Raw genomic sequence first — 26,072 nt, forward strand, 5'->3', positions numbered from 1 at the left:
GAAAAATAATTTCTTAGCATGGGACATTCAGTAGGGTGGGTGATTAGGACTATATATTAGCAACAAGAGTCTGGTGGTCTAAGAAGAACAGAATGAAAAAGAAAGCACAGAATAGAGTTAGGAGGACCACAAAGATAAACCTGCATCTCAAAACTGTGTTTAGGGTAAGCCTTGCACTGTAGAGAGTTCTTAGGTTGGGCAAGGTGGCTCATGCCTGTAATCCCAGCACTTTGGGAGGCCGAGGTAGGTGGATCACCTGATGTCAGGAGTTTAAGATCAGCCTGGTCAACATGGTGAAACCCTGTCTCTACTAAAAATACAAAAATTAGCCGGACACGGTGGCACGCACCTGTAATCCCAGCTACTCAGGAGGCTGAGGCAGGAGAATTGCTTGAGCTGAGATAAGGCCACCACACTCCAGCCTGGGCAACAGAGCAAGATTGTCTCAAGAAAAAAAAAAAAAGAGAGAGAGACAGGAAAAAAAAAGAGTTTTCTTTTTCTTCCTCCATACTAAAGGGTATGCTTACCACATTCATAGTTACTAATAATACTACATTTTGGGAGAGCCAACTTGGGAAAATTTTCCACTACTACACATACAAAGGTTAAGAGTAAAGCAATCTGCTTCATGTATGTTTTTTAAAATCTACTGTTAAGTTCCAGGGTACATGGGCAGGATGTGCAGGTTTGTTACGTAGGTAAACGTGTGCCATGATGGTTTGCTGCACAGATCAACCCAACACCTAAGTATTAGGCCCAGGATCCATTAGCTATTCTTTCTGATGTTCTCCCTCCCCACCGTCCCCTCCATATATGCTCTTAATCTATACTCTCACAAGGATTACAATGCTTATTCATTCTTAATTCAAAAATATTTATAGAGCATCTCATAAGGCCAAGCTTGGGAGAATAAAGCAGTGAACCAAGACAAAAGTATCTGTGCTAGTAGGGCTGACATTTTGCTCCTAAGTGCTTGTAGGCCTATAACAGGTTTTAGATTTTACAAGTTTTCCCTCAAGCAGTACTTACAGCATCTCCAAGCCTCATTAACAGCTGCTGTAAGATCAAAAGATCTCTGCAGATCAGGAAACGAGTACTGGCGATTTTATGCACCCCTCTGCACACAATATACCCTGCTGTGTTACTACCATAGAGCTGGGTAAGATTCATTCGAATATTCAAAGGCTGAGCTGTAAAAAGAAGAAAAATGGAGTTGAATGCATCATTGTTTTAATCAAAGAGGCACATTTGTTGTTCTGTCATTTACCTGGATTGAATCCCTTTTCCATTTCCACTTCTGTTTCATAATCCATTTCCCGTATAAGTAGTCCAATTGCATGGATTGGGTTCCTAATCTCTTGCAGTTTACTACAAATATCCTCCATCACATTTTCTCTATAAGGACAATTACAAAACTCTTATTACTACCGAGAATACGTAAGGCAAGTTCTATATGTCCTATAAGCTAAATACATTATGAAACAAGAGAACCAGATAAAGGAATGAAGATAATCACTCTGGCATATAAGATACAGTCCCTATGCATAGCAAATTTCCTCTCAGTTTTTCATAAACAACACACAAAACAAACATGAGAAGAACACTTTTGCTTTTTAGAATTTTTAGCTCGGTTAATTGTTAAAGCATATTTTATAAGTCTATTTCTAGACTTGAAGTCGTGTTAAATTTTCTGTTAAAAGTAGAAATATGTACTTAGAATCATGGCGCATCAGTTTGACTTTAAGCTACTATTCTGTACGCTCTGGAACATACATTAAAATTCCAACTTTGGCGCTAAAAATGCTGAATTTCCATTAGGAAATGCACTTTACCCTAATTCTCCTTACACATCAATAGTGATCATATCTTCCAGAATCTGCTCTGCAGCCTTTTCCGGAGACTGTAGGTTATAACAACTCATTTCCATTATAACTGACATATCCACAGTTACTGACTCTTCAATCAGCCGGAGGCATTTTATAAGACATATGACATCCCGAGCGATGTCCACATCTACAAATAAGAGAAAGTTAACATTTATGTCTTAAGCCAATGACAATCTATTGATTGATATTACATTAAAATGTTAATAATTAAATGACAAGAAATCTATCTGAGGTCTCAGAGATGCTTTGGTCTCTTAAGTGTTCATTAAAATATTTGTGGTGTGGTAAAGTGACCAAGACAGGTGTGGCAATCGATATTTTTTGTATCCATGTGAAACGAAGCATAGGGTTTATATAGGAAGGGGATTAAATATGGACATAACAATTACTATTACCATCAGATATGGTTGTCTCATCTTCTGTCAAAAGGTTCTCATAAGGCAGGAGATACAAATGATCCACTAAGGATGAGGGAATAAGGAAAGACAGGTACCCCTGGAAATACAAATTTTCCAGTTACATTTTTGTCAGTAAAATTTTAAAGGTATAAAATAATTGAGATGTGCATCTTATCATGAGGCAAACCCAAGTTGCAATACACTCTATAAAATAATAGGTGTAAGTCTTGGCTGGGCACAGTGGCTCACATCTGTGATCCCAGCAGTTTGGGAGGCTGAGGTGGGAGGATCACTTGAGCCAAGGAGTTCAAGACCAGCCTGGGCATCATGATGAAACCCCATCTCTAAAAAAAAAAAATTAGCCAAGTGTGGTGGCACACAGCTTTAATTCTAGCTGCTAGGGAGGCTGGGGTGGGAGGATCACCTGAGCCTGGGAGGTTGAAGCTGCAGTGAGCCTTAAGAGTGCCACTGGGCCGGGCGCAGTGGCTCACGCCTGTAATCCCAGCACTTTGGGAGGCTGAAGTGGGTGGATCACGAGGTCAGGGGATCGAGACCATCCTGGCTAACACGGTGAAACCCCGTCTCTACTAAAAATACAAAAAATTAGCCAGGTGTGGTGGCGGGCGCCTGTAGTCCCAGCTACTGGTGAGGCTGAGGCAGGAGAATGGCATAAACCCAGGAGGCAGAGGTTGCAGTGTGTTGAGATCGTGCCACTGCACTCCAGCCTGGGTGACAGAGCGAGACTCTGTCTCAAAAAAAAAAAAAAAAAAAAAAAAGAGTGCCACTGTACTGCAGCCTGGGTGACACAGCAAGACCCTGCCTCAAACAAACAAACAAACAAACAAACAAAAAAAAGAAACAAGCATAGTCTTCAAATAACATCATTCTCATGAAAGACAAAGAAACGCTGATAACAGTTTGAGGTTAAGCTAAAGAGACACAATAACTAAATACATATATTAGATTGGATCCTGGACTTTGGGAGGCCAAGGTGGGCGGATCACCTGAGCCCAGGAATTTGAGACCAGCCTGGTCACAACATGGCGAAACTCCGTCTCTATTAAAAATACAAAACTAGCCAGGTGTGGTGGCGCGTGCCTATAATCCCAGCTACTCTGGAGGATAGGCAGGAGAATCGCTTGAACTCAGTAGGCGGAGGTTGCAGTGAGCCGAGATTGCACCACTGGACTCTAGCCTGGGCGACAGAGCAAGACTGTCTCAAAAAAAAAAAAAAGATTGGATCCTGGATCAGGAAAAAAAATTATGGGCACAATTGGCAAAATCTGAATATAAACTATATATATATATATGTTATATTTGGCAAAATTTGAATATAAGCTGTATAATATTATGTCAATATCAAATAACCTGATTTTTAAATTGGGCTGTGGTTATTTAATATCTGTGTTCTTAGATACATGCTGAAATATTTAAGGATATTTAAGGATAAAGGAGCATGATATCTACAACTAACTTCTCAGTAGTTCAGGAAAAACTGTTTAGAGAAAGAAGAAAAGCATATGGAAGTTAACAAATGATGAATCCAGATGAAGGGTATACAGGAATTCTTTGTGCTATTCTTGTAACTCTTACCTTAAGTTGGAAATTACTTCAATATAAAAAGTAAATAGGCCGGGTGTGGTGGCCCACGCCTGTAATCCCAACACTTTGGGAGGCTGAGGCGGGTGAATCACCTAAGGACAGGAGTTCAAGACCCACCTGACCAATATGATGAAACCCCACCTCTACTAAAAATACAAAAATTAGCCGGGTGTGATGGTGTACACCTGTAGTCCCAGGTACTCAGGAGAATTGCTTGAATCCCAGAGGCGGAGGTTGCAGTGAGCTGAGATCACACCACTGCACTCCAGCCTGGGTGACAGAGCAAGACTCCAACTCAAAAAAAGAGAAAAAAAGAAAAAGAAATAAATACAATAAAATACAAAAAAAGTATAGAGAATAACACAGAAAACTATTTAAATGAATGAATCACAATTTTAGGGGAAAAAATACAAATGCAAAGTCCTAAATGCTAACCGCAACATTCACCAGACTAACATTCGGCAAGAGCCACTGAACTTTTTGTTTTCTGAAGGCATTTTGTTATAACAGCCACTGAACTGTCTCAAGAAGGTCTTCTCTATGCTTTAGCTCACTTACTTTTTTCAGCAGGCACACCATGTTTGTGTGTGGATTCAAATGTAGGGCAAGAGGGTGAGAGAGGGCTTCTTGATACTGAAGACAACAGGCATAGAACTTGCACCAGAATTCTTGTTGTAAATTTCGAAACTCCTCCTGGGAGAATTCATACTCTGTTACACTTCCTTGAAGCTGGCAAAGAAGAAATGAAAGAAATTAAACTTTTGATGCCATTCAGGATCTTTGTCCACAAAAAACATAATTGTCCAATATCATTATACTAAGCTACAGCCAAATGAATATTCCTTACGTATTAAAGGCCATAGACTATGCAAATGTGTATCTGATTCTCTAGTTAAAAGGTTTAAACATTTATATGTTCCAACAAACAAGGTCAAGTGAAGAATTCCAGTAATTCCTCGGTCAGTACCAATCTGCCCTATATCAAGATGGAAGGAATTCTTATTCTTTCTCTACCCAAGCCTCACCTCATTTTCAACAGCTAAAGTAACTTCTTTCTTCAGTTCACTCCAGGAAAGATCCAAATTCCTCTCAGTTCCTCGGCAGAAAATCTAACATTAAAAGACATTTTAGACTTCTATATAATAGCCAAAACTGAATGGAAAACGTTTCAGTTTAGAAGACATAGAGGCAATATAAAACTATATAATAGAGATTTGGCATACCTGGAACACACATCACCCAAGAGAAAGTTAAGAAACTGGGTGTATTTAGTCTGGAGAAAGGTGACCTGGAAAGATTCTTAAAATACTTGAAGGGTTGATTTATAGAAGAGAGGCTTCCTTTTCAATGACACAGTTTGGGAATAATAACTCCCACAAGAGGTAGTGACAAAGTGGTCAGTGGAGGTAGAGACAATTAAAGGCTGAATAACTATCACAAAAGCCTCAGAAGGCATTTCTGTTTTATGTGGGAGGTCAGTCTAAAATATTCTAATATAATTTTCAATTATATGAGTTATTGTATTTTAAATCCATCCATGAAGCTAAGTAGTAATTTAAAGAAGCCTATGCAAGCTGGGTGTGGTGGCTCATGCCTATAATCCCAGCACTTTGGGAGGCTGAGGCGGGTGGATCATTTGAGGCCAGGAGTTCGAGACAAGCTTGGCCAATATGGCAAAACCTTGTCTCTACTAAAAACTACAAAAATTAGCCGGGTGTGGTGGCATGCGTCTGTAGTCCCAGCTACTTGGGAGGCTGAGGCAGGAGAATCACTTGAACCCAGGAGGCAGAGGTTGCAGTGAGCCAAGATCGTGCCACCGCACTCCAGCCTGGGCAACAGAGCGAGACCCTGCCTCAAAGGGAAAAAAAAAAAAAAAGTCTATGTAACTTTTTGTTGTTGTTTTAATAGAGATGGGAATCTTGCCATGTTACCCAGGCTGGTCTTGAACTCCTGAGCTCAAGCAATCCACCCCCTTGGCCTCCCAAAGTGCTGAGATTACAGGTGTGAGCCACTGCACCCAGCCAGAAGCCTTTGTAACCTTAAAAAATCCTTTCAGTTTTTTTTTTTTTTTTTAAGATAGGGTGTCACTCTGTTTCCCAGGCTGGAATGCAGTGGCATGATCAAGGCTCACCATACCCTTTACCTCCTGGGCTAAAGCAGTCCTCCAACCTAGGGCTCCTGAGTAGCTGGGACCACAGGTGCATGCCACCACACCTGGCTATTTTTCTATTATTATTATTTTTTTTAGAGATGGGGTCTCCCTCTGTTGCCCAGGCTGCTCTCAAACTCCTGGGCTCAAGTGATCTTCCCTCTTCAGCCTCCCAAAATTTTGGGATTACAGGTGTGAGTCACTACCGTTGGCCAAAGAATCCTTTTGTAAAGCACTGGGCTTCTCTTATACAATGAATTTGAAGCCAAAAACTTTTTTTTTTTTTTTTTTTGAGACAGAGTCTCACTCTGCCGCCAGTTTGGAGTGCAGTGGCGCAATCTTGGCTCACTGCAACCTCTGCCTCCCGGGTTCAAGAGATTAATTCTTCTGCCTCAGCCTCCCGAGTAGCTGGGACTATAGGCGTGTGCCACCACGCCCGGCTAATTTTTGTATTTTTAGTAGAGACGGGGTTTCACCATGTTGGCCAGGATGGTCTCGATCTCTTGACCCCGTGATCCATCTGCCTCAGCCTCCCGAAGTGCTGGGATTACAGGCGTGAGCCACCACGCCCGGCCTAGAGTTTTCTTGAATCTGAACCAAGTCAGACCTTCACTGTCCTAATAAAAAGGTTAAAACAGTATAACCAAAACTAAACAAAAAACCACTTTAAGTTTCTCTCAAGTACAGAGATTCTATACAGTGCAGTATGGTATCTTTTTACAGTACTGTAGGTAGAGGTTTCTCTTTCTAACTCTGGCATGTGTCACTGATTACTGGGAAAGTGGTCCCCCCTCCAACCTCTCCACCATGAATACTGTATTTAATGGAAAGAACATTAAAAAAATTATAAAAGTATTTACAAACACACATATGTATGAATACAGAAGTACATTCAGTGTTTAATATATGCAAAAACTTAATAGTAATTATATACAGTAATAAAATAAGAAATAGTCTTAAACAAACAGTAAATTTTTTTTGCTGACCTGTAAAGCCTTACATAAAGCTTCATTTGTGAATTGTCCTGGTGTAAAAAGACTTTGCAGATACATCTCCTATTAGAACATTAAAACAAAAGTTACTATTGTCCTAAACAAAATTTGGAATTCAACACATAACACCAAAGTTTGAGTTTCTACTATATGAACATTGCCATTTTGCCCTTCTATATGTGGGCAATAACAGTAGTGCGGTTACATGTTTTCACACTGAAAGTGAAGACTGCAATGTCTTTGAGTCAACTAGAGGTACTATACTTAAAATGGTGTGTTCCTCACGGAGAGCTTCATTGGGTTCCGGCAGAAAACAAGCTTTGTCAAATGCCAATCTTAAATGGAAGAAGCAAATCTAATTGGTGATATACACTGGTAAGAGAACAAGTAAACGAAGCTGGTTTCTACACCATCTATGGTATTCATTTTATGACTCACATGTAAAAGAAATGGAACCAGTAATAATAGGTATTATATGCAAACAAAACAAAACAAAACAAAACAAACAGCAATAAACTCTCACAAGTAGGGAAATGAAGTAGAGAGAACAACATGGAAAAATCTCATATTGCCTAATGATTTTGACCAACTCTCCTAAACCAGATTTGCCCCCAAGTAGTAAATCTGACTAACAGTCATTCAAGTTTCCTTCCTTCTACTGAGATGATAAAATGACCAAAATGAAGGAGAAAAACAACAGTTTTAGTAATCAGCATATGATTTTGGCTTTTAGACAAAAGCCAAGTGCCAGTAGTTAACTGGAACAATAAATAACTACCACCAATAAACTCTTGGGATTAAGAGTGCAGTAATATTCAATTTAAGATTTTTGAAGTATGTTTTCTACTCCTGCAAATAGTCATTGTTTCAGATCCCAAGCCCATAATCTTTAATGTCATTGTAATACTAAGGCATCAACTGAAAGCTTTTTTATTTATCCTGAGGGTGTCCCTTAAAAATGTGGAGATTTGGCCGGGCACGGTGGCTCACGACTGTAATCCCAGCACTTTGGGAGGCCGAGGTGGGTGGATCACCTGAGGTCAGGAGTTGGAGACCAGCCTGAACAACATGGTGAAACCCCGTCTCTACAAAAGTACAAAAATTAGCTGGGTGTGGTGGTACGTGACTGTAGTCCCAGCTACTCGGGAGGCTGAGGCAAGAGAATTGCTTGAACCTGGGAGGCAGAGGTTGCAGTGAGCCAAGATCATGCCACTGTACCCCAGCCTGGGCCACAGAGCGAGACTCTGTCTCAAAAAAAAAAAAAAGATCAAAGTAAATCATTCCCTTATATAACATTTGAGCATCTACTTACTCTGGGGTCTTGATCATCTCTGATGACAATCTCTTCCTCTGGCAGAGGCTGCATAAAAACTGGATTCCACTGACCTGCAACATTACTAGAGACAAAAAAGTCCACCAGTTTATACAGAAATGATCACTAAAAATGAAATGTATGCTGTTGGCAGTATCTGGGCAGGGAGGACCCCATCACGGAACCCGGCAATGACTGCTTCATCAATTCTATTAAAAACATTTTTTTTTAAATAAGAAAGAAAGAAACATTTTTAGCAGAGCCTAGTTTTTATACAAGTTTGCTTACCATGTTTTAATAATTATCTTCCTAAAATTGAAACTCATTGTTTCAGATCTCAAGCCCATAATCTTTAATGTCATTTTAACACTAAGGCATCAAATACAAAGAATAACTAACTTTTATTCTGCATTTATTATTTGCTAGATATTATGCTAGATGCAGTTTTAGACATTATTCATGTATGCCTTATAATTCTTTGAAGGATATAGTACTCCCATTTCACAGATGTACACAGTGAGGCTGAGGGTATATCACAGCTAGTAAGTTGCACAACTAGGATTCCAACCCTGCTCCAACTCTGCAGCCTGTGCTTTCTGACTACTTTGCTCAAATGCCATCTACAAGGAGTGCTTTTTTTATCTTCCCAGGTATGGCCTGAGGTCAATCTGGAGGGCAATCATTCCCAGAATTCTACCTTAGGCTCTAGGGTTATCAGGGACCCAGAGGGTTCAATTAGTTCAGTGGTCTTCAAGCTCTGTCCCAAGGGAGCCTCTACAGATGTTTCAGGGGTTAGACAAGTCTTTGCTTCAAAATGGTTTGTTTTTTATTTTTGGCCAAATTTAGCAGTGGAGGGCTGTATGCCAACTTTAGTGACACTAATGTTAAGTTCTGACAATCCATTATCATGGGACCAGCCAAAAATTGTTTTGTAAAATGTATTTTTAACTACCTAAGGCTTGCAAACTAATATCATCTACATTAAAAAATATTAGATACCAAATATATCTAACATTAGGTACAATCAACATTAAATTGTGTTATAATTTTATACTCATAAAATACTACACATTCATAGCTCACTGAAGCCTGAACTCTGAGGCTCAAGCAATCCTCCTGCCTCAGTCTAATAGGGTGCATCGTGCCACCACACCTGGCTAGTTTATTTTATTTATTTATATTTATTTATTTATTTTTGAGATGGAGTCTCACTTTGTCGCCTAGGCTGGAGTGAATGGCATGATCTTGGCTCACTGCAACCTCCGTCTCCTGGGTTCAAGAGATTCTCCTGCCTCAGCCTCCTGAGTAGCTGGGATTACAGGCACATACCACCACGCCCGGCTAATTTTTGTATTTTTAGTAGAGATGGGGTTTCACCATGTTGGCCAGGCTGGTCTCAAACTTCCAACCTTGTGATCTGCCCACTTCAGCCTCCCAAAGTACTGGGATTACAGGCATGAGCCACCGCACCTGGCCACTAGTTTATTTTTTATAGAGACAAGGTCTTGCTATGTTGCCTGGACAGGTCTTGAACCATGGCCTCAGGCAATCCTCCCACCTTAGCCTCACAAAGTGCTTGGATTACAGGTATGAGCCACTGTGCCCAGCCCTGTTTTAAAATAAATTTGAGAAGCACTGCACTTGTCCAATCTATTTCTCATCTCATGATGAGAAAATTGAAAACACAAAGGCTATAGTATCCTAAGGAAGTTGCAGGAATCAGGAATAGTCTTAGCTTAGAAACAAAGAAAACTCCCAGATTAGAGGTATTTTGGATATGTGCTATCTCTCCCAAGAAATATGACATTTTATCTTAGTCCAACCCCCAAAATTCTCATTTTGTCCTAAAACAAAAATGTAAAAAATAACACAAAATGCACAAGAGGTATTTCAGGAAGACAGTAACAAGACGAAAACCCAGGGCTGAATTATTCGAATGAAAACCCTTGACTTGGTTCTACATAAAAAGCTCCCTTGTCTTTTTTTTTTTTTTTTTTTTTTTGAGATAGAGTCTTACTCTGTTGCCCAGGCTGGAGTGCAGTGGAGCAATGTTGGCTCACTGCAATCTCCGCCTCCTGGGTTCAAGCGATTCTCATGCTACAGCCTTGCCTCCCGAGGAGCTGGGATTATAGGCACCTGCCACCAGGCCCAGCTAATTTTTTGTGTTTTTAGTAGAGACGGGGTTTCTGTTGCCCAGCCTGGTCTCGAACTCCTGAGCTTAAGTGATTTGCCTGCCTCGGCCTCTCAAAGTGTTAGGATTACAGGCATGAGACACGGCGCCCGGCCTCTCGTCTTCTTAGCATGAAATTGCTTGGGGTGAGGTAGGATGACAGAATTAAGTGACCCATACTGTTCAAAGTTGATGTATTTCACTACTGTTTGGTTCTCAGCATCATGCCACAGGGCCCAGATATCCGTGGAAGTTAAGGCAAAGTCAATCAGTGTCTCCTAGGAGGAAATGTGGGAAAAAAAGGGATAAAATAAGAAAGAAAGTAGTAGTTCACGGTGACTTACTTTTTCATCAGTAGGAGAGGTAAATGTATGAAAACAAAACATGGTACCACATGAATTTGGTAAAGTCTAAATGAAATTTTGTTCCATATATCATGAAATAATTCCATTTTAAGACTACAATCCCATTATACCATAACAGAGTTAGTCAATACTTCTTTTTCTTGTACTTATGTGATATGCAAAGGATGAATCAACCTACCTGAGAAGTGAACAGTGAAGAAATATGATCGAGACTATAGCGATTACTCTCAGTGCTCACCAACTGGAAAATGCAGAACTGTTAAAACACAAGATGATCATTTATTACCTGAAATAATCAACATGTTACTTTTCGAAGCAAGGGCTATTACCATTCAGAAACCTTTAAAAAAAAATTTTTTTTTTTTTGAAAGAAGAGTCTTGCTCTGTTGCCCAGGCTGGAGTGCAATGGCACGATCTCAGCTCACTGCAACCTCCACCTCCTAAGTTCAAGCTATTCTCCTGCCTCAGCCTCCCGAGTAGCTGGGATTACAGGTGCCCGCCACCATGCCCGGCTAATTTTTGTATTTTTAGTAGAGATGGGGTTTCACCGTGTTGGCCAGGCTAGTCTCAAACTCCTGACTTCATGATGCGCCTGCCTCGGCCTCCCAAAGAACTGGGATTACAGGCGTGAGCCACTGCACCCGGCCAAAAATTTTTTTTCTTTTCTTTTTTTTTTTTTAATACTTTAAATTCTAGGTTACATGTGCACAACGTGCAGGTTTGTTACATATGTATACATGTGCCATGTTGGTGTGCTGCACCCATTAATTCATTTACATTACGTATATCTCCTAATGTTATCCCTCCCCACTCCCCCTACCCCACGACAGGTGCCAGTGTGTGACGTTCCCCACCCTGTGGCCAAGTGTTCTCATTGTTCAATTCCCACCTATGAGTGAGAACACGTGGTGTTTGGTTTTCTGTCCTTGTGATAGTTTTCTCAGAATGATGGTTTCCAGCTTCATCCGTGTCCCTACAAAGGACATGAACTCATCCTTTTTTATGGCTGCATAGTATTCCATGGTGTATATGTGCCACATTTTCTTAATCCAGTCTATCATTGATGGACACTTGGGTTGGTTCCAAGTCTTTGCGATTGTGAATAGTGCCACAATAAATATATGTGTGCATGTGTCTTTATAGCAGCATGATTTATAATCCTTTGGGTATATACCCAGCAATGGGATGGCTGGGTCAAATGGTATTTACTGCAGAAATGATCCCTGAAAGTATAGTCTTCAAAAATTTTTTCTTTTTCACCCACACAGGCCAGGTAGAACCACTTTATTTTAATGTAGTAAAATACACATAACGTCAAATTTACCATTTTAACTATTTTTAGCAGTGTTAAGTATATTCACACTGTTGTACAACCAATCTATAGAACTCCTTTCATCTTCACCTTGCATAACTAAAACTCTATACTCAATAAACAATTTCCCATTTCCCTTCAATTCCTAGCCCCTTGTAACACCACTTTACTTTGTCTCTATAAATTTGACTACTCTAGGTACTCCATGTAAGTGGAAGGGTCATATATTATTTGTGTTTTTGTGACTGGTTTATGTCGTTTAGCATAATGTCTTCAAGGCTCGCCCATGTAGTAGCATGTGTCAGCATTTCCTTCCTTTTTTCTTTTTTTTTGATAAGGAGCCTCGCTCTATCGCCCAGGCTGGAGTGCAATGGTGCGATCTCGGCTCACTGCAAGCTCTGCCTCCCAGGTTCCTGCCATTCTCCTGCCTCAGCCTACTGAGTAGCTGGGACTACAGGCGCCTGTCACCACGCCTGGCTAATTTTTTTGTATTTTTAGTAGAGTCGGGGTTTCACCGTGTTATCCAGGATGGTCTTGATCTCCTGACCTTGTGATCCATCCGCCTCAGCCTCCTAAAGTGCTGGGATTACAGGTGTGAGCCACTGCTCCTGGCCTTCCTTCCTTTTAAAAACTGAAATATTAAACTGTACGTACATGCAACAGGTTGTTTACCTATTTGTTGTGGATGGACACTTGGGCTGCTTTATCTTATTGCCTATTGTGAGTAATGCTACTATGTATATGGTTGTACAAATATACCTTTGAGACCCTGCTTTCAATTCTTTTGCATATATATATATATATATATATATATATATATATATATATATATACACACACACATAGAAGTGGAATTTCTGGAATATATGGTAATTCTATGTTTAATTTTTTGAGGAACCACTATATTGTTTTTCATAATGGCTGCAGCATTTTACATTCCCACTAGCAATGTACAAGAGTTCTGATTTCTCAACAACAACAAAAGAGTTCTAATTTCTCCATATCCTTGCCAAGACATTTATTTATTTATTCATTCATTCAATTGTAGATATCCTAATAGATGTGAGGTGATTATCTCACTGTGGTAAAAAAAATTATTTGTTGGCTGGGTGCGGTGGCTCACACCTGTAATCTCAGCACTTTGGGAGGCCGAGACAGGTGGATCATGAGGTCAGGAGATCGAGACCATCCTGACTAACACGGTGAAACGCCATCTCTACTAAAAAAAATACAAAAAAATTTAGCCGGGCGCAGTGGCACGTACCTGTAGTCCCAGCTATTCGAGAGGCTGAGGTAGGAGAATGGTGTGAACCCGGGAGGCGGAGCTTGCAGTGAGTCAAGATCGCCCCACTATACTCCAGCCTGGGCAACAGAGCGACTCTATCTCAAAAAAAAATAAAATAAAATAAAAAACAAACTTATTTATTTTTATTTTTAGAGACAGGTCTTGCTCTGTTACCCAAGCTGCAGTGCAGTGACATGATCGTAGCTCAACGTTAACCTCCAACTCTTGGGCTCAAGCTATCTTCCTACCTCAGCCTCCCTAATAGCTAGTAATGCAGGCATGTTCTACCCGACCCAGCTTTTTCTTTTGTTTTTTTTTTTCACGTTAATTTAATTTAATTTATTTTTTGAGATGGAGTCTCGCACTGTCGCCCAGGCTGGAGTGCAGTGGTGTGATCTCGGCTCACTGCGAGCTCCACCTCCTGGGTTCACGCCATTCTCCTGCCTCAGCCTCCTGAGTAGCTGGGACTACAGGCGCCTGCCACCACGCCCAGCTAAGTTTTTGTATTTTTAGTAGAGACAGGGTTTCCCTGTGTTAGACAGGATAGTCTCGATCTTCTGACCTCGTGATCTGCCCGCCTCGGCCTCCCAAAGTGCTGGGATTACAGGCATGAGCCAACCGCGCCCAGCCGGACTTTTATTTTTTGTAGGGACGGAGTCTCACCATGTTGCCCGAGCTAGTCACAAACTCCTGGTATCAAGTGATCCTTCTGCCTTGGCCTCCCAAATTGCTGGGACTGCAGGAGTGAGTTACAGTGCCTGGCTTGATGAACTTTTTAAATAACTTTTTTTTTTTGGAGACGAGTCTCGCTCTATTGCCTAGGTTGAAGTGCAGTGGTGTGATCTCGGCTCACTGCAACCTCTGCCTCCCAGGTTCAAGCAATTTTGCCTCAGCCTCCCAAGTAGCTGGGATTATAGGTCCCCACCACCATGCCCAGCTAATTTTTGCCTTTTTTTTTTTTTTTTGAGACGGAGTATCGCTCTGTCACCCAGGCTGGAGTGCAGTGGTACGATCTCGGCTCACTGCAACCTCTGCCTCCTGGGTTCAAGCAATTCTCCTGCCTCAGCCTCGCGAGTAGTTGGGATTTACAGGCACGCACTACCATGCCCAGCTAGTTTTCGTATTTTAGTAGAGACAGGGTTTCACCATGTTGGTCAGGGTGGTCTCAAACTCCTGACCTCAAGTGATCCACCCACCTCGGCCTCCCAAAATGTTGGGATTACAGGCATGAGCCATACAGCCTAATTTTTGTATTTTTAGTAGAGACAGCGTTTTACCATGTTGGCCAGGCTGGTCTCGAACTCCTGACCTCAGGTGATCTGCCCACCTCGGCCTTCTAAAGTGCTGGGATTACAGGCGTGAGCCACCAAGTCCAGCCTAAATTAACTGTTTTTATAAAGAAAATTTACTGTAAATTGATAAGAGTGATGATGACCCTTATATGCAGCTGTTCACAAAAAAGTATTAAAGAAAAAAAAGCAGCAAAATTCCTTTTTGAGAAACATAGTGTATGAAATATGAAAAAAAATATGTAGTGCTTATATCCATTGTAGCCTGAACCTGTGTTTTAAAACCTACAAATCTCAATCCATTAGTGGGACATAAAATCAATTTAGCAGGTCTCAAACAGCATTAAACAAACAAACAAACAAACAAACAAACAAAAACCCAACAGTCCAAGCTGGTCTTAAATTCCTGAACTCAAATGATCCTCCTGCATCAGCCCCGAGTAGCCGGAACTATACATATGCACCATCAGGCCCAGCCGAAGATCAGTTTTTGTGAAGAAAAAAGAAATAAAATACTATAAGTTCACTATAATCTGGATAGGCTAACAGTGTTACATAGCTGTCAAAAAAGTTATTCTGATTTTAGGCTTCAATGAAGAATCATAATGCTCAAAACAAAGGAAGTAATAGCTCTGCTCAATTTGACACACTCCTGAACTACTACATTCATTCCCGATCTGACCTTTAGAGCAGTGGTTCTCAAAATGTGGTCCACAGATTCCTAGAGGTCCCTGAGACCATTTCAGGGGGTCAGTGAGGTAAAAATCCCCCCCCCCTTTTTTTTTTGAGACAGAGTCTCTCTCTGTCACTTAGGCTGGAGTGCTATGGCACAATCTCCGCTCACTGCAACATCTGCCTCCTGGGTTCAAGCAATTCTCCTGCCTCAGTCTCCCGAGTAGCTGGGATTAAAGATGCCCGCCACCACGCTTGGCTAATTTTTGTATTTTTAGTACAGTCGGGGTTTCACCATGTTGGCCAGGCTGGTCTCGAACTCCTGACCTCAGGTGATCTGCCCGCCTTGGCCTCCCAAAGTGTTGGGATTACAGGTGTGAGCCACTGCACCCAGCCCCAAACCCTTTGCATAATAACACTGCATTATTTGCCTTTTTCACTTTGTTGATATTTGCATCAATGATGCAAAATCAGTGGTGGGTAAAATTACTGGTGTCTTAACATAAATCAAGGCAGTGGGACCAAACTGAACACCCTTTCAAGAGAAAACCACTCAAGAAACTAGGAATAAAGGGGAACCTCCTCAACACAATATAAAGGGCACTTACGAAAAATTCAGGCTGGGTGCTGTGGTTCACACTTGTAATCCCAGCACATTGGGAAGCCGAGGTGGGTGGACTGCTTGAACTCAGGAGTTTGAGACCAGGCAACATGGCGAAACCCCGTCTCTACCAAAAATACAAAAAAATTAGCCATGTGTGGTCGCACACACCTGTGGTCCCAGCTACCTGGGAGGCTGAGGTGGGAGGATCGCTTGAACCTGAGAGGTGGAGGTTGCAGTGAGCTGAGATTGCGCCACTGCACTCCAACTTGGGTGACGGAGTGAGACACTGTCTCAAAAAAAAAAAAAAAATTCACAGCTTACTGTTGCATCACAATGAAAAAAAAAGACAAATTCACAGCTAGCATTATACTTAATGGTGAAACACTGGTAACTTCTCCCTTAGCAATACAAATTAGGAATGAGGCAAAGATGCATAGCATGGCCAACATGGTGAAACCTCTTCTCTACCAAAAAACAACAATATAAAAATTAGCTGGGCATGGTGGCACATGCCCGTGGTCCCGGCAACTCTACTCAGAAGGCTGAGGTGGGAGAATCGCTTGAACCAGGAGGTTGCAATGAGCTGAGAGTGCATTCACTGCGCTCCAGCCTGAGTGACAGAGTGAAAAAAAAAAAGACGACAAAAAAGATGCAGGTTCTTGCCACTTCTATTCAACATTGTACTAGAGGATCTAGCCAGGACAATTAGTACCCACCTCCCTCCAAAAAAATTTTTAAAAACCCTACAAGAAAGAAGGAAAAGAAAAAAAGAAAATGCATCTAGTTTAGAAAGGAAGTAATAAAACTAACTTTTTTATGAGACAGGGTTCCGCTCTGTTGCTCAGGTTGAAGTACAGTGAGGCAATCAGGAATACTGCAGCCTCAACCATCCAGGCTCAAGTGATCCTGCCATCTCAGCCCCTCAAATAGCTGGTACTATAGGAATGAGCCACCATGCTCAGCTAATTTTTGCTATTTTGTAGAGACAGGGTTTCGCCATGTTGCCCAGGCTGGTCTGGAACTCCTGAGCTCAAGCAATCTGCCCACCTTGGCCTCCCAAAGTGCTGGGATTACAGGTGTGAGCCATTGTAATCAAAAGTTTATTTGCAAGTGACATTATCTTGTATAAAGAAAATCCTAATGAATCCATTACAAAATCTATCAGAACTAATAAATGAGTTCAGCAAAGTTGCAAGATACAATTATGAATATACAAAAATCAACTGTATTTCTATCAACTTCCAATGAGCACTCTGAAAATGAAATTAAGAAAATAATTTCGTTTATAATAGCATCAAGAAAATTTCATTTACAATAGCATCAAAAAGAATCAAATATTTAAGAAGAAATTGAACAAAAGTATAAAACTTACACTCTGAAAACTAAAGCATCCCATGTTCATGGATCAGAAGACTTAATATTGCTAAGATGGCAATATTTTATAATATCATCTATAGAGGCAACACAATTTTTATCAGAATCTCAGCTAACTTCTTTGTAGAAACTGACAAGCTGATTCTAAAACTCATATGGAATTGAATGGGACCCAGAATAGCCAAAACAATCTTGAAAAAGAAGAACAAAGTAAGAGGGCTCACACTTCCTGGTGTCAAAATTTCCTACAAAGCAAGAGTAATCAAGACAGTGTGGTACCAGCACAAGGTCAGATATATAGATCAATGGAACAGAATTGAGAGCCTAGAAATAAAACCATGTGTCTGAGGTCAAATGATTTTGAGAAGGGTGCCAAGACCATTCAATGTGTTAAGAACTATCTTTTCAACAAATGGTGCTGAGAAAACTGAATATCTACAAGCAAAAGAATGAAGTTGAATGCTTACCTCACACTATTAAAAAAAAACCCCACAAAACTAAAAAAATGAATCAAAGTCCTAAATATAAAAGCTAAAAGTATAAAACTCTGAGAAGAAAACATAAGAGTAAATCGTTATGACCTTAGGTTTGGCAAAGGATTCTTAAGGTATGACACTATGAACAAAAGCAACAAAAGAAAAAATAGATAATCTGGACTTTATCAAAATTAAAAACATGTGCTTCATGGGACACCATCAAGAAAGTGAAAAGACAGCTCACGTGGTAGAAAATACTACTTGCAAGTCATAAATCTGATTAGAGATTTAGATCCAGAATAATACAGTTACATACTATATAATGATGCTTTGGTATATGGACCACATATACAATGGTGACTCCATAAGATTAAGTTTATAATACCATTTTGTTTGTTTCTTTGTTTTTGAGACAGAATCTTGCTCTGTTGCCCAGGCTGGATGGTGCGATCCCGGCTCACTGCAACCTCCACCACCAGGTTTCAAGCAATTCTCGTGCCTCAGCCTCACAAGTAACTGGGATTACAGGCACGTGCCACCATGCCCGGCTAATTTTTTGTATTTTTATTAGAGATGGGGTTTCACCATATTGGCCAGGCTGGTCTCAAATACCTGGCCTCAAGTGATCTACCCACCTTGGCCTCCCAAAGTGCTAGGATTACAGGCATGAGCCACCGCACTGGCCTGTTTACAGAATTCTTACAATTCAATAACAAAAAAGACAAACTAATTAAAAAATGGGCACATGAGAAGACTGAAGCTGGATCCCTTCCTTACACGATATACAAAAATCAACTCAAGATGGATTAAAGACTTAAACATAACACGCAAAACTATAAAAACCCTGGAAGACAACCATAGGCAATACCATCCTGAACATACGAACGGGCAAAGATTTCAAGACGAAGACACTAAAAGCAATCTCAACAAAAGCAAAAATTGACAAGTGGGATCTAATTAAACTTAAAAGCTTCTGCACAGTAAAAGAAACTTTCAGCAGAGTAAACAGACAACTTACAGAATGGGAGAAAATATTTGCAAACTATGCATCTGACGAGGGTCTGATTTCCAACCTCTATAAGGAACTTAAATTTACAAATGAAAGGCAAACAACCTCATTAAAAAGTGGGCAAAGGACATGAACAGACACTTTTCAAAAAAGAAGTATGCAGCTAACAAGCATATGAATAAAAGTTCACTATCACTGATCATTAGAGAAATGCAAATCAAAACCACAATGAGATACCATCGCACAGCAGTCAGAATGGCTATTAAAAAGTCAAAAAATAACAGATGCTGGTGAGGTTGCAGAGAAAAGGGAACATTTATACAATGTTGGTGGGACTGTAAATTACTTCAACCATTGTGGAAAGCAGTGTGGTGATTCCTCTAAGAACTAAAAACAGAACTACCATTCCACTCAGCAATCCCATTACTGGGTATATAACCCAAAGGAATACAAATCATTCTACCATAAAGACAAATGCACATGAATGTTCATTACAGCACTGTTCACAATAGCAAAGACATAGAATCAACCTAAATGCCCCTCAATGACAGACTGAATAAAACATGGTACATATATATCATGGAATATATGCAGCCACAAAAAAGAACGAGATCATGTCTTTTGTGGAAACATGGATGGAAGTGGAGGTCATTATCCTCAGCAAAATAATGCAGGAACAGAAAACCAAATACCACATGTTCTCACTTATAAATGGGAGCTAAATGATGGGAACTTATGAACACGAAGAAGGAAACAACAAACATTAGGGTCTACTTGAGGGTGGAGGTTGGGAGGAGGGAGTGGAGCAGAAAAGATAGCTATTAGGTGCTGGGCTTAATTCCTGGGTGATGAGAAAATCTGTACAACAAAGCCCCATGACATGAGTTCACCTATGTAATAAAGCTTCACATGTACCCTCAAACCTAAAACAAAAGTTAAAAAAAAAAAGAGCAGCCGAGCGTGGTGGCTCATGCCTGTAATCCCAGCACTTTGGGAAGCTGAGGCTGGTGGATCACCTGAGGTCAGGAGTTCGAGACCAGCCTGGCCAACATGGTGAAACCCCGTCTCTACAAAAACACAAAAATTAGCCAGGCATGATGGCGTGAGCCTGTAATCCCAGCTACTTGGGGGACTGAGGCGGGAGAATCGCTTGAACCTGGGAGGCGGAGGTTGCAGTGAGCCGAGATCACGCCACTGCACTCCAGCCTGGGCAACAGAGCAAGATTCCATCTCAACAACAACAACAACAACAACAACAAAAAAGCAAATGATGTGAATAAACATTTCTCCAAGGAAGAGACACAAATAACCAATAAGCACTAAAAAGATGCTTGGCATCATTAGTTATCAGGAAATTAAAACAAAAACCATAATGAGATAATACTTCATACCCACTAGGATATCTAGAATTAAAAAGTCAGATAACAACAAGTGTTGACAAGTATATAGCAGCAGTATTCATAATAGATAAAGGGTAGAAACAACAATGTCCAACACAAATGAAAAAATTCCAACACAAATGAATAAATAAATGGTGGTATACAACTGAAAATTATTCAGCTATAAAAGGAATTGAAACCACCTTCGCAAAAATCATAACAGTGAGAAAATTATGACAATGAAAGAGGTCTGGGCCAGGTGCAGTGGCTCACGCCTGTAATCCCAGCACTTTGGGAGGCCGAGGCAGGCGGATTACCTGAGATCAGGAGAGACCAGCCTGGCCAATATGGCAAAACCCCACCTCTACTAAAAAAATACAAAAACTTAGCCAGGCATGGTGGCATGCGCCTGTAATCCCAGCAACTTGGGAAGCTGAGGCAGGGGAACTGCTTGAACCTGGGAGGCAGAGGTTGCAGTGAGCTGAGATCGCGCCACTGTATTCCAGCCTTAGTGACAAAGCGAGACTCTCTCTCAAAAAAAAAAAAAAAAAAAAAAAAAAGAGACAGATCTGATCTAATAAATTCCTTTTTTTTTTTTTTTTTTTTTTTTTTGAGACAGAATCTCGGTCTGTCACCAGGCTGGAGTGCAGTGGTGCAATCTCTGCTCACTGCAACCTCCGCCTCCCAGGTTCAAACCATTCTCCTGCCTCAGCCTCCTGAGCAGCTGGGACTACAGGCATGCACCACTACGCCCAGCTAATTTTTGTATTTTTAGTAGAGAAGGAGTTTCACCATATTGGCCAGGAGGGTCTCGATCTCCTGACCTCATGATCCGCCTGCCTCAGCCTCCCAAAGTGTTGGGATTACAGGCGTGAGCCACTGTGCTGGCCCACAAATTCCATCTTGTCTTTAATCTCCAAACTGCCTCTGGTCATTCCTGAGCATGGGCAAGGCTCACCTTGGGAGAAATTTAATTTATAGTTTAAATAATAATAGCCCTTCCCCAAAACCAAACCACCTTGGTAAAACTAATGAAAGGCCACCAGGTTAGGAAGATGAGAGGGGCCCGAATTCATAGTTAAATGATTACCAGTCATTATTCCGGAGGTCATAAGATTTGCAACTTCCCCAATTACTTCTGTAAATAACATCACCATTGTAGCACCTTACACTGGCCTTTTAAAATGTGTTTTCAGTTTTTTACATTTCTGGCCCCAGCCAGATGAGCAACTCTTCTGTGGCCCCGACCCAGAAGCAGACTCAGCGCATAGGATGGTTTTCCACACTCCTACAATTGCATCTCCAACCAGTCAGCAGCACTCATAGCCTCGCCCTGCCTGGCAAACTATCTTTGAAAAACCCTAGCCTCTAAATTTTCAGGGGGGCTGATCTGATTTGAGTTAACAGTAAAACTCCGGTCTCCTGTTTAGCTGGCTCTATGTGTATTAAACTCTCTCTATTCCAATTCCTGTCTTGATAAATCAGCTGTATGTATTGGGCACTTACAGAATGAAGTGCTGACAACACATGCTACATGGATGAACCTTGAAAATATTAAGCTAAGTGAAAGAAGCCAGTCACAGAAAACCACTTATATGATTCCACTGACATAATATGACCAGAATAAGTAACTTTATAGAGACAGAAAATAGATTAGCAGTTGTGTAGAGCTGGGAAGAAATGGGGGAAGGGAAGAATGATAGCTAAAAGGTATGGGGTTTCTTTTTGAGGTGATGGAAATGTTCTAAAGTTGACTATGGTAATGGTTGCTCGTATCTGTGGATATACTAAAACTCATTGAATGGTATACTTTAAATGGGTGAGTGAATTACATCTCAAGAAAGCTGTTTAAATAAATGAATAGGCTGGGCGTGGTGGCTCACACCTGTAATCCCAGCACTTTGGGAGGCTGAGGCGGGTGGATCACCTGAGGTCAGGAGTTCGAGACCAGACTGGCCCACATGGTGAAACCCCATCTCTATTAAAAATACAAAAAATTAGCCGGGTATGGTGGCAGGTACCTGTAATCCCAGCCACTGTGGAGGCTGATGAAGGAGAATTGCTTGAACCCAGGAGGCAGAGGTTGCAGTCAGTTGAGGTCACGCTACTGCACTCCAGCCTGGGTGACAAGAGTGCCAAACTCCATCACAAAAGAAAAAAAAAAAAGAATAAAGTGAACCTGTCATTTCAGGGAAAACAAATGACAGTATTTGTTGCCAATGATACATTTCAAGTTTTAAAGTGAAAACTATGATTTCAGAAAACTTCGTATCCACTAACATGAACTCCAGAGCTTCTCAAGGCTCTTCTGAGTGATCACCAATGATAATATCATCAATGATAATAGTTGTGCAGAAAGGGTTAACATAGCAGGCCTGAGGCTGCTCTCCTTAGAAAGTCTTGCTTGTACTCTGGGAGGCCGAAGTGGGCAGATCACAAGGTCAGGAGTTCGAGACCAGCCTGGCCAATATGGTGGGCACTGTGCCTCTAGCAAGCTTTCCTGGGAAACAACATTTTACACACATCATCACAATTCAGTGCTGGAAGAATTAAGCATGTCCTGTGAGACTCTACTGGGAGGGGACTCTTAGACGATTGTGTCTGGCTTCAGACTTCACTCCATGTGCCTTTTCCCTTTTTTCACTTTGCTTTGTATCTTTTCACTGTAATACATTTTAGCTGTCAGCACAACTACATACTGAGCCCTATGAGTCCTTTCAGAGTATTACTGGACATGGAGGTGAGGTGGTCTTGGGGATTACCCCCCAAAACAGTAATTTAGATACTGCATAATATAAAATGTGTCAATCCACATCCAGCCAGTTTTAATTTCTAATAAATTATAGGTATAACCCATATAAACAAAAGCTCTTTGCAGTTCTCGGTAAGAGTATAATAGGGTCCCGAGACCAAAAGTTTGAGAACCACTATTTTAGTGTGACAAACTAATTGTAACATGTCGAGGAGACTGATCAACAGGATGTTACATGAATAACAATGGAAGGAACTAAGGAAGTTAGAGCAGGGTCAATTCTCCTACCACCCACAACCTACATGCAGAGAAGAGTATACTTAGAGGAGATGGATAGGTATGTTCAAATAGTTCAAGGGTTGTCCTCCAGAAGAGAGAATAGAACAATTATGTGCAATCAAGATAAATGTCTTGATAGCATGATACTTTTGGGCCATATTAGGAAAAAACTGCAAGAATGAGCTCTTCCTCTTCCCTTCCATTCTGTTCCTGAGCAATCCAATCTAAAAACCTAGAGCAAGGTAGATATCCTTGCTGGCCAGAAGGTAAGGGTCGGGGACCTGGGGGGTTGGGGTTCGGCATAAGGAGTCAGTCTGAACAGGTTGAAGAGAACATCGGTGCAGGCATGTCCCAGCACAGGAGTGAGAACACTAGTGAGTGAGAAGGGCGTGCATGCAGGGGTGATATGGCCAGGTGTGATGAGGCAAGAGCCTAGGGACATAAGAAGACTGTCCACATTTGGGACTGCCTGACTTCGGGGGGAGGAGCACGAACAGTTTGAGATGGCTTCCACATGGACAGAAAGCTTGGTGCAGGATGGAAACTCAGGTTGGGTGAGGAGGAGGTCCATTGCATGGGGGCAGTCTGGTGGTCTCAGGGCCCAAACAGGGTAAGGAGGGCACCCACATTGGAGGAGCAATGTGGAGTGGGCTATGAGATCCCAACAGAAGTGAGAAGGGCATCCAGGAAGGGCAGTGGCCTAGCGTGGGGACTCAGTGGGGGAATCAGAGCTCCTGCATAGTAAGGGAGACAGACCCTACCTCACTGGGCTGTTATTAGGATTAAATGGATAAAACGCATATAGCATATGAGCCCAGAGTAAGCACAATCCCAGTGTCTGCTATTATTAATGTGCATAAAGGGACTGGCACAGCACCAAACACACAATGCTCAACAAATGGCTGTTTATTAAATGATTACACTATTACATCACATCCTACGTATCTCATCTACAGACAGCAGCTACTGTCTGGATGCTAAGCAAATTTATTTAGAAAAATTAACTTAACACCACATAACACCTACATCCCTTTCAGGAATTCTGTTTTTTCACCTAGAACTCCTAATTTGCTCTTCTTGTTTAGTTTCTGTTAACTTTTCCTTTCATGTTACTTTAAACTCTCTACTTCCTTTCATACTGACCCCTCCTTCAAGATCTTCTAATTCACATAGTAGCACGAAACCCAACCATCACCTCAGAAACACATCTAGGTCGGTGAAAAGAGCTTGAACAGACTCACTGAGTCTACAGCCATTTCTCCACATCAGTACACACAGAATAACTTGGTATGTGTCTTATTTGTTTCATACCTGTCCTCGTTTTGGTGCATGCATGTATATCCCCAGGTAGAGTCCCATGGTGGGGGAATAAGCAAGCCGTAATTTGTGTCCAGTTCCAGCAGTAAGCCGAAGGTCTTTCTTCACAGGGACATACTCCAGCATGTCAGCTACCATTAGGCACATTTGCTCCTGTCCAAGAAAATAGTTAATAGGTGATATTCAAGGGATATTCAGGCTAGAAGAACATACCTTTTGAAAGGATGGACCTTTCATTGTATCTACTGCTCTATCTAGTTTATCTGCTAAAAGACCTTACAGGTTTTTGTTTCAAAAGGGCTAACACAGGCCGGGCGCAGTGGCTCACGTCTGTAATCCCAGCACTCTGGGAGGCCGAGGTGGGTGGATAACCTGAGGTCAGGAGTTCGAGACCAGCCTGGCCAACATAGTGAAACCCCATCTCTACTAAAAAATACAAAAATTAGCCAGGTGCAGTGGTGCATGCCTGTTATCCCAGCTACTTGGGAAGCTGAGGCAGGAGAATCACTTGAACCTGGGAGGCGGAGGTTGCAGTGAGGTGAGACTGCGCCATTGCATTCCAGCCTGAGTGACAGAGCGAGACTCTGTTTCGGGGGAAAATAAAAAGAGGGAGGGAGGGGCTAACATGAAAAACATCTCTTCAGTCTGAAACATAAGATCAGACTTATATAAAATATAAGCTGTATTTTTTAGATGAATCTTGAAAACCATTTTACCAACTTACATTTTAAAAACATATTTGTTGCTCTTAAATGAAAGGTCCAGTCTGGGTAACATGGCAAAACCCTGTCTACAAAAAATACTAAAATTAGCCAGGTATGGTAGCGTGCCCCTGTAGTCCCAGCTATTTGAGCAGCTGAGGTGGGGAATTGCTTGAGCCCGGGAGGCAGAGGCTGCAGTGAGCTATATTCATGCCACTGTACTCCAGCCTGGGTGACAAAGTGAGACTGTTTCAAAAAATTAAAAAATTTAAAAAAAAGTGAAAGGTGTACTTTGTACTACTCTTTCAGTGTTCCTGTTAGGTTGATAATTTTTCCAAATAAAAAGACAGTAAGTTAGGAGGAAAATATATGCAAAATAAAGCTAAATGAAACTGTCTGAATCTGGCAGTGACCAATAAGTTCCAAACCAATTGATCTAATAATCTTTAGAGAAACAGCAAAATTTACTTCAATTCTCATGATTCACAATCCTGTTTTAACTTACAGCAACTATAAATGTAGCACTTACCTTGTAAGACCACATTCGTAGTTTATGATCCTGACACAAAGCAAAGATGAAGGCATCATGCTCCACACAATGAACAGCAAGACTGAGGGGACGATCTGAAGGCGACTGGTCACCCCTAAAACATAAGACCCAGTTTTAGAGTTTTACTGCTGCAAAGAATCTGATCATTAGAATTTGCAATTCAAGAAATATAATAAAATTATAAATGTACACTCTTAGC

The 26,072-nt window shown here is 41.2% G+C and overlaps 1 protein-coding gene across 2 annotated transcripts in view, besides 2 other annotated features; it reads right to left on the minus strand.

Annotated features, from left to right (window-relative positions):
• NUP160 (nucleoporin 160) overlaps positions 1–26,072 on the minus strand; it is a 70,427-nt gene that overhangs the window by 32,917 nt on the left and 11,438 nt on the right. The window contains exons 6-17 of one of the 2 annotated variants that reach the window (NR_134636.3): positions 25,853–25,967; positions 24,617–24,775; positions 11,053–11,130; positions 10,690–10,787; positions 8,340–8,424; positions 7,022–7,090; positions 4,912–4,995; positions 4,445–4,615; positions 2,282–2,381; positions 1,833–2,013; positions 1,268–1,395; positions 1,030–1,190 (exon numbers count right to left, since the gene is read on the minus strand). Coding sequence is in view for 1 of the 2 variants with exons in the window: in NM_015231.3 (NP_056046.2) it covers positions 1,030–1,190; positions 1,268–1,395; positions 1,848–2,013; positions 2,282–2,381; positions 4,445–4,615; positions 4,912–4,995; positions 7,022–7,090; positions 8,340–8,424; positions 10,690–10,787; positions 11,053–11,130; positions 24,617–24,775; positions 25,853–25,967 (1,414 nt within the window). In the remaining variant the exon portion in view is untranslated. The remainder of the gene's footprint in view (positions 1–1,029; positions 1,191–1,267; positions 1,396–1,832; positions 2,014–2,281; positions 2,382–4,444; positions 4,616–4,911; positions 4,996–7,021; positions 7,091–8,339; positions 8,425–10,689; positions 10,788–11,052; positions 11,131–24,616; positions 24,776–25,852; positions 25,968–26,072) is intronic. The other variant, NM_015231.3, reaches the window with a different exon arrangement.
• Positions 2,346–2,846: an enhancer, noted in NCBI's record as "H3K27ac hESC enhancer chr11:47834932-47835432 (GRCh37/hg19 assembly coordinates)". NCBI's record gives its function as "activates a minimal SCP1, AML or CMV promoter by ChIP-STARR-seq in naive H9 embryonic stem cells {active_cell/tissue: H9 hESC(naive)}" and the evidence as "EXISTENCE:reporter gene assay evidence [ECO:0000049][PMID:30033119]".
• Positions 2,847–3,347: an enhancer, noted in NCBI's record as "H3K27ac hESC enhancer chr11:47835433-47835933 (GRCh37/hg19 assembly coordinates)". NCBI's record gives its function as "activates a minimal SCP1, AML or CMV promoter by ChIP-STARR-seq in naive H9 embryonic stem cells {active_cell/tissue: H9 hESC(naive)}" and the evidence as "EXISTENCE:reporter gene assay evidence [ECO:0000049][PMID:30033119]".

The sequence above is a fragment of the Homo sapiens genome, chromosome 11, assembly GCF_000001405.40.
Source record: "Homo sapiens chromosome 11, GRCh38.p14 Primary Assembly".
In the NCBI taxonomy this organism is placed as follows: domain Eukaryota; kingdom Metazoa; phylum Chordata; class Mammalia; order Primates; family Hominidae; genus Homo; species Homo sapiens.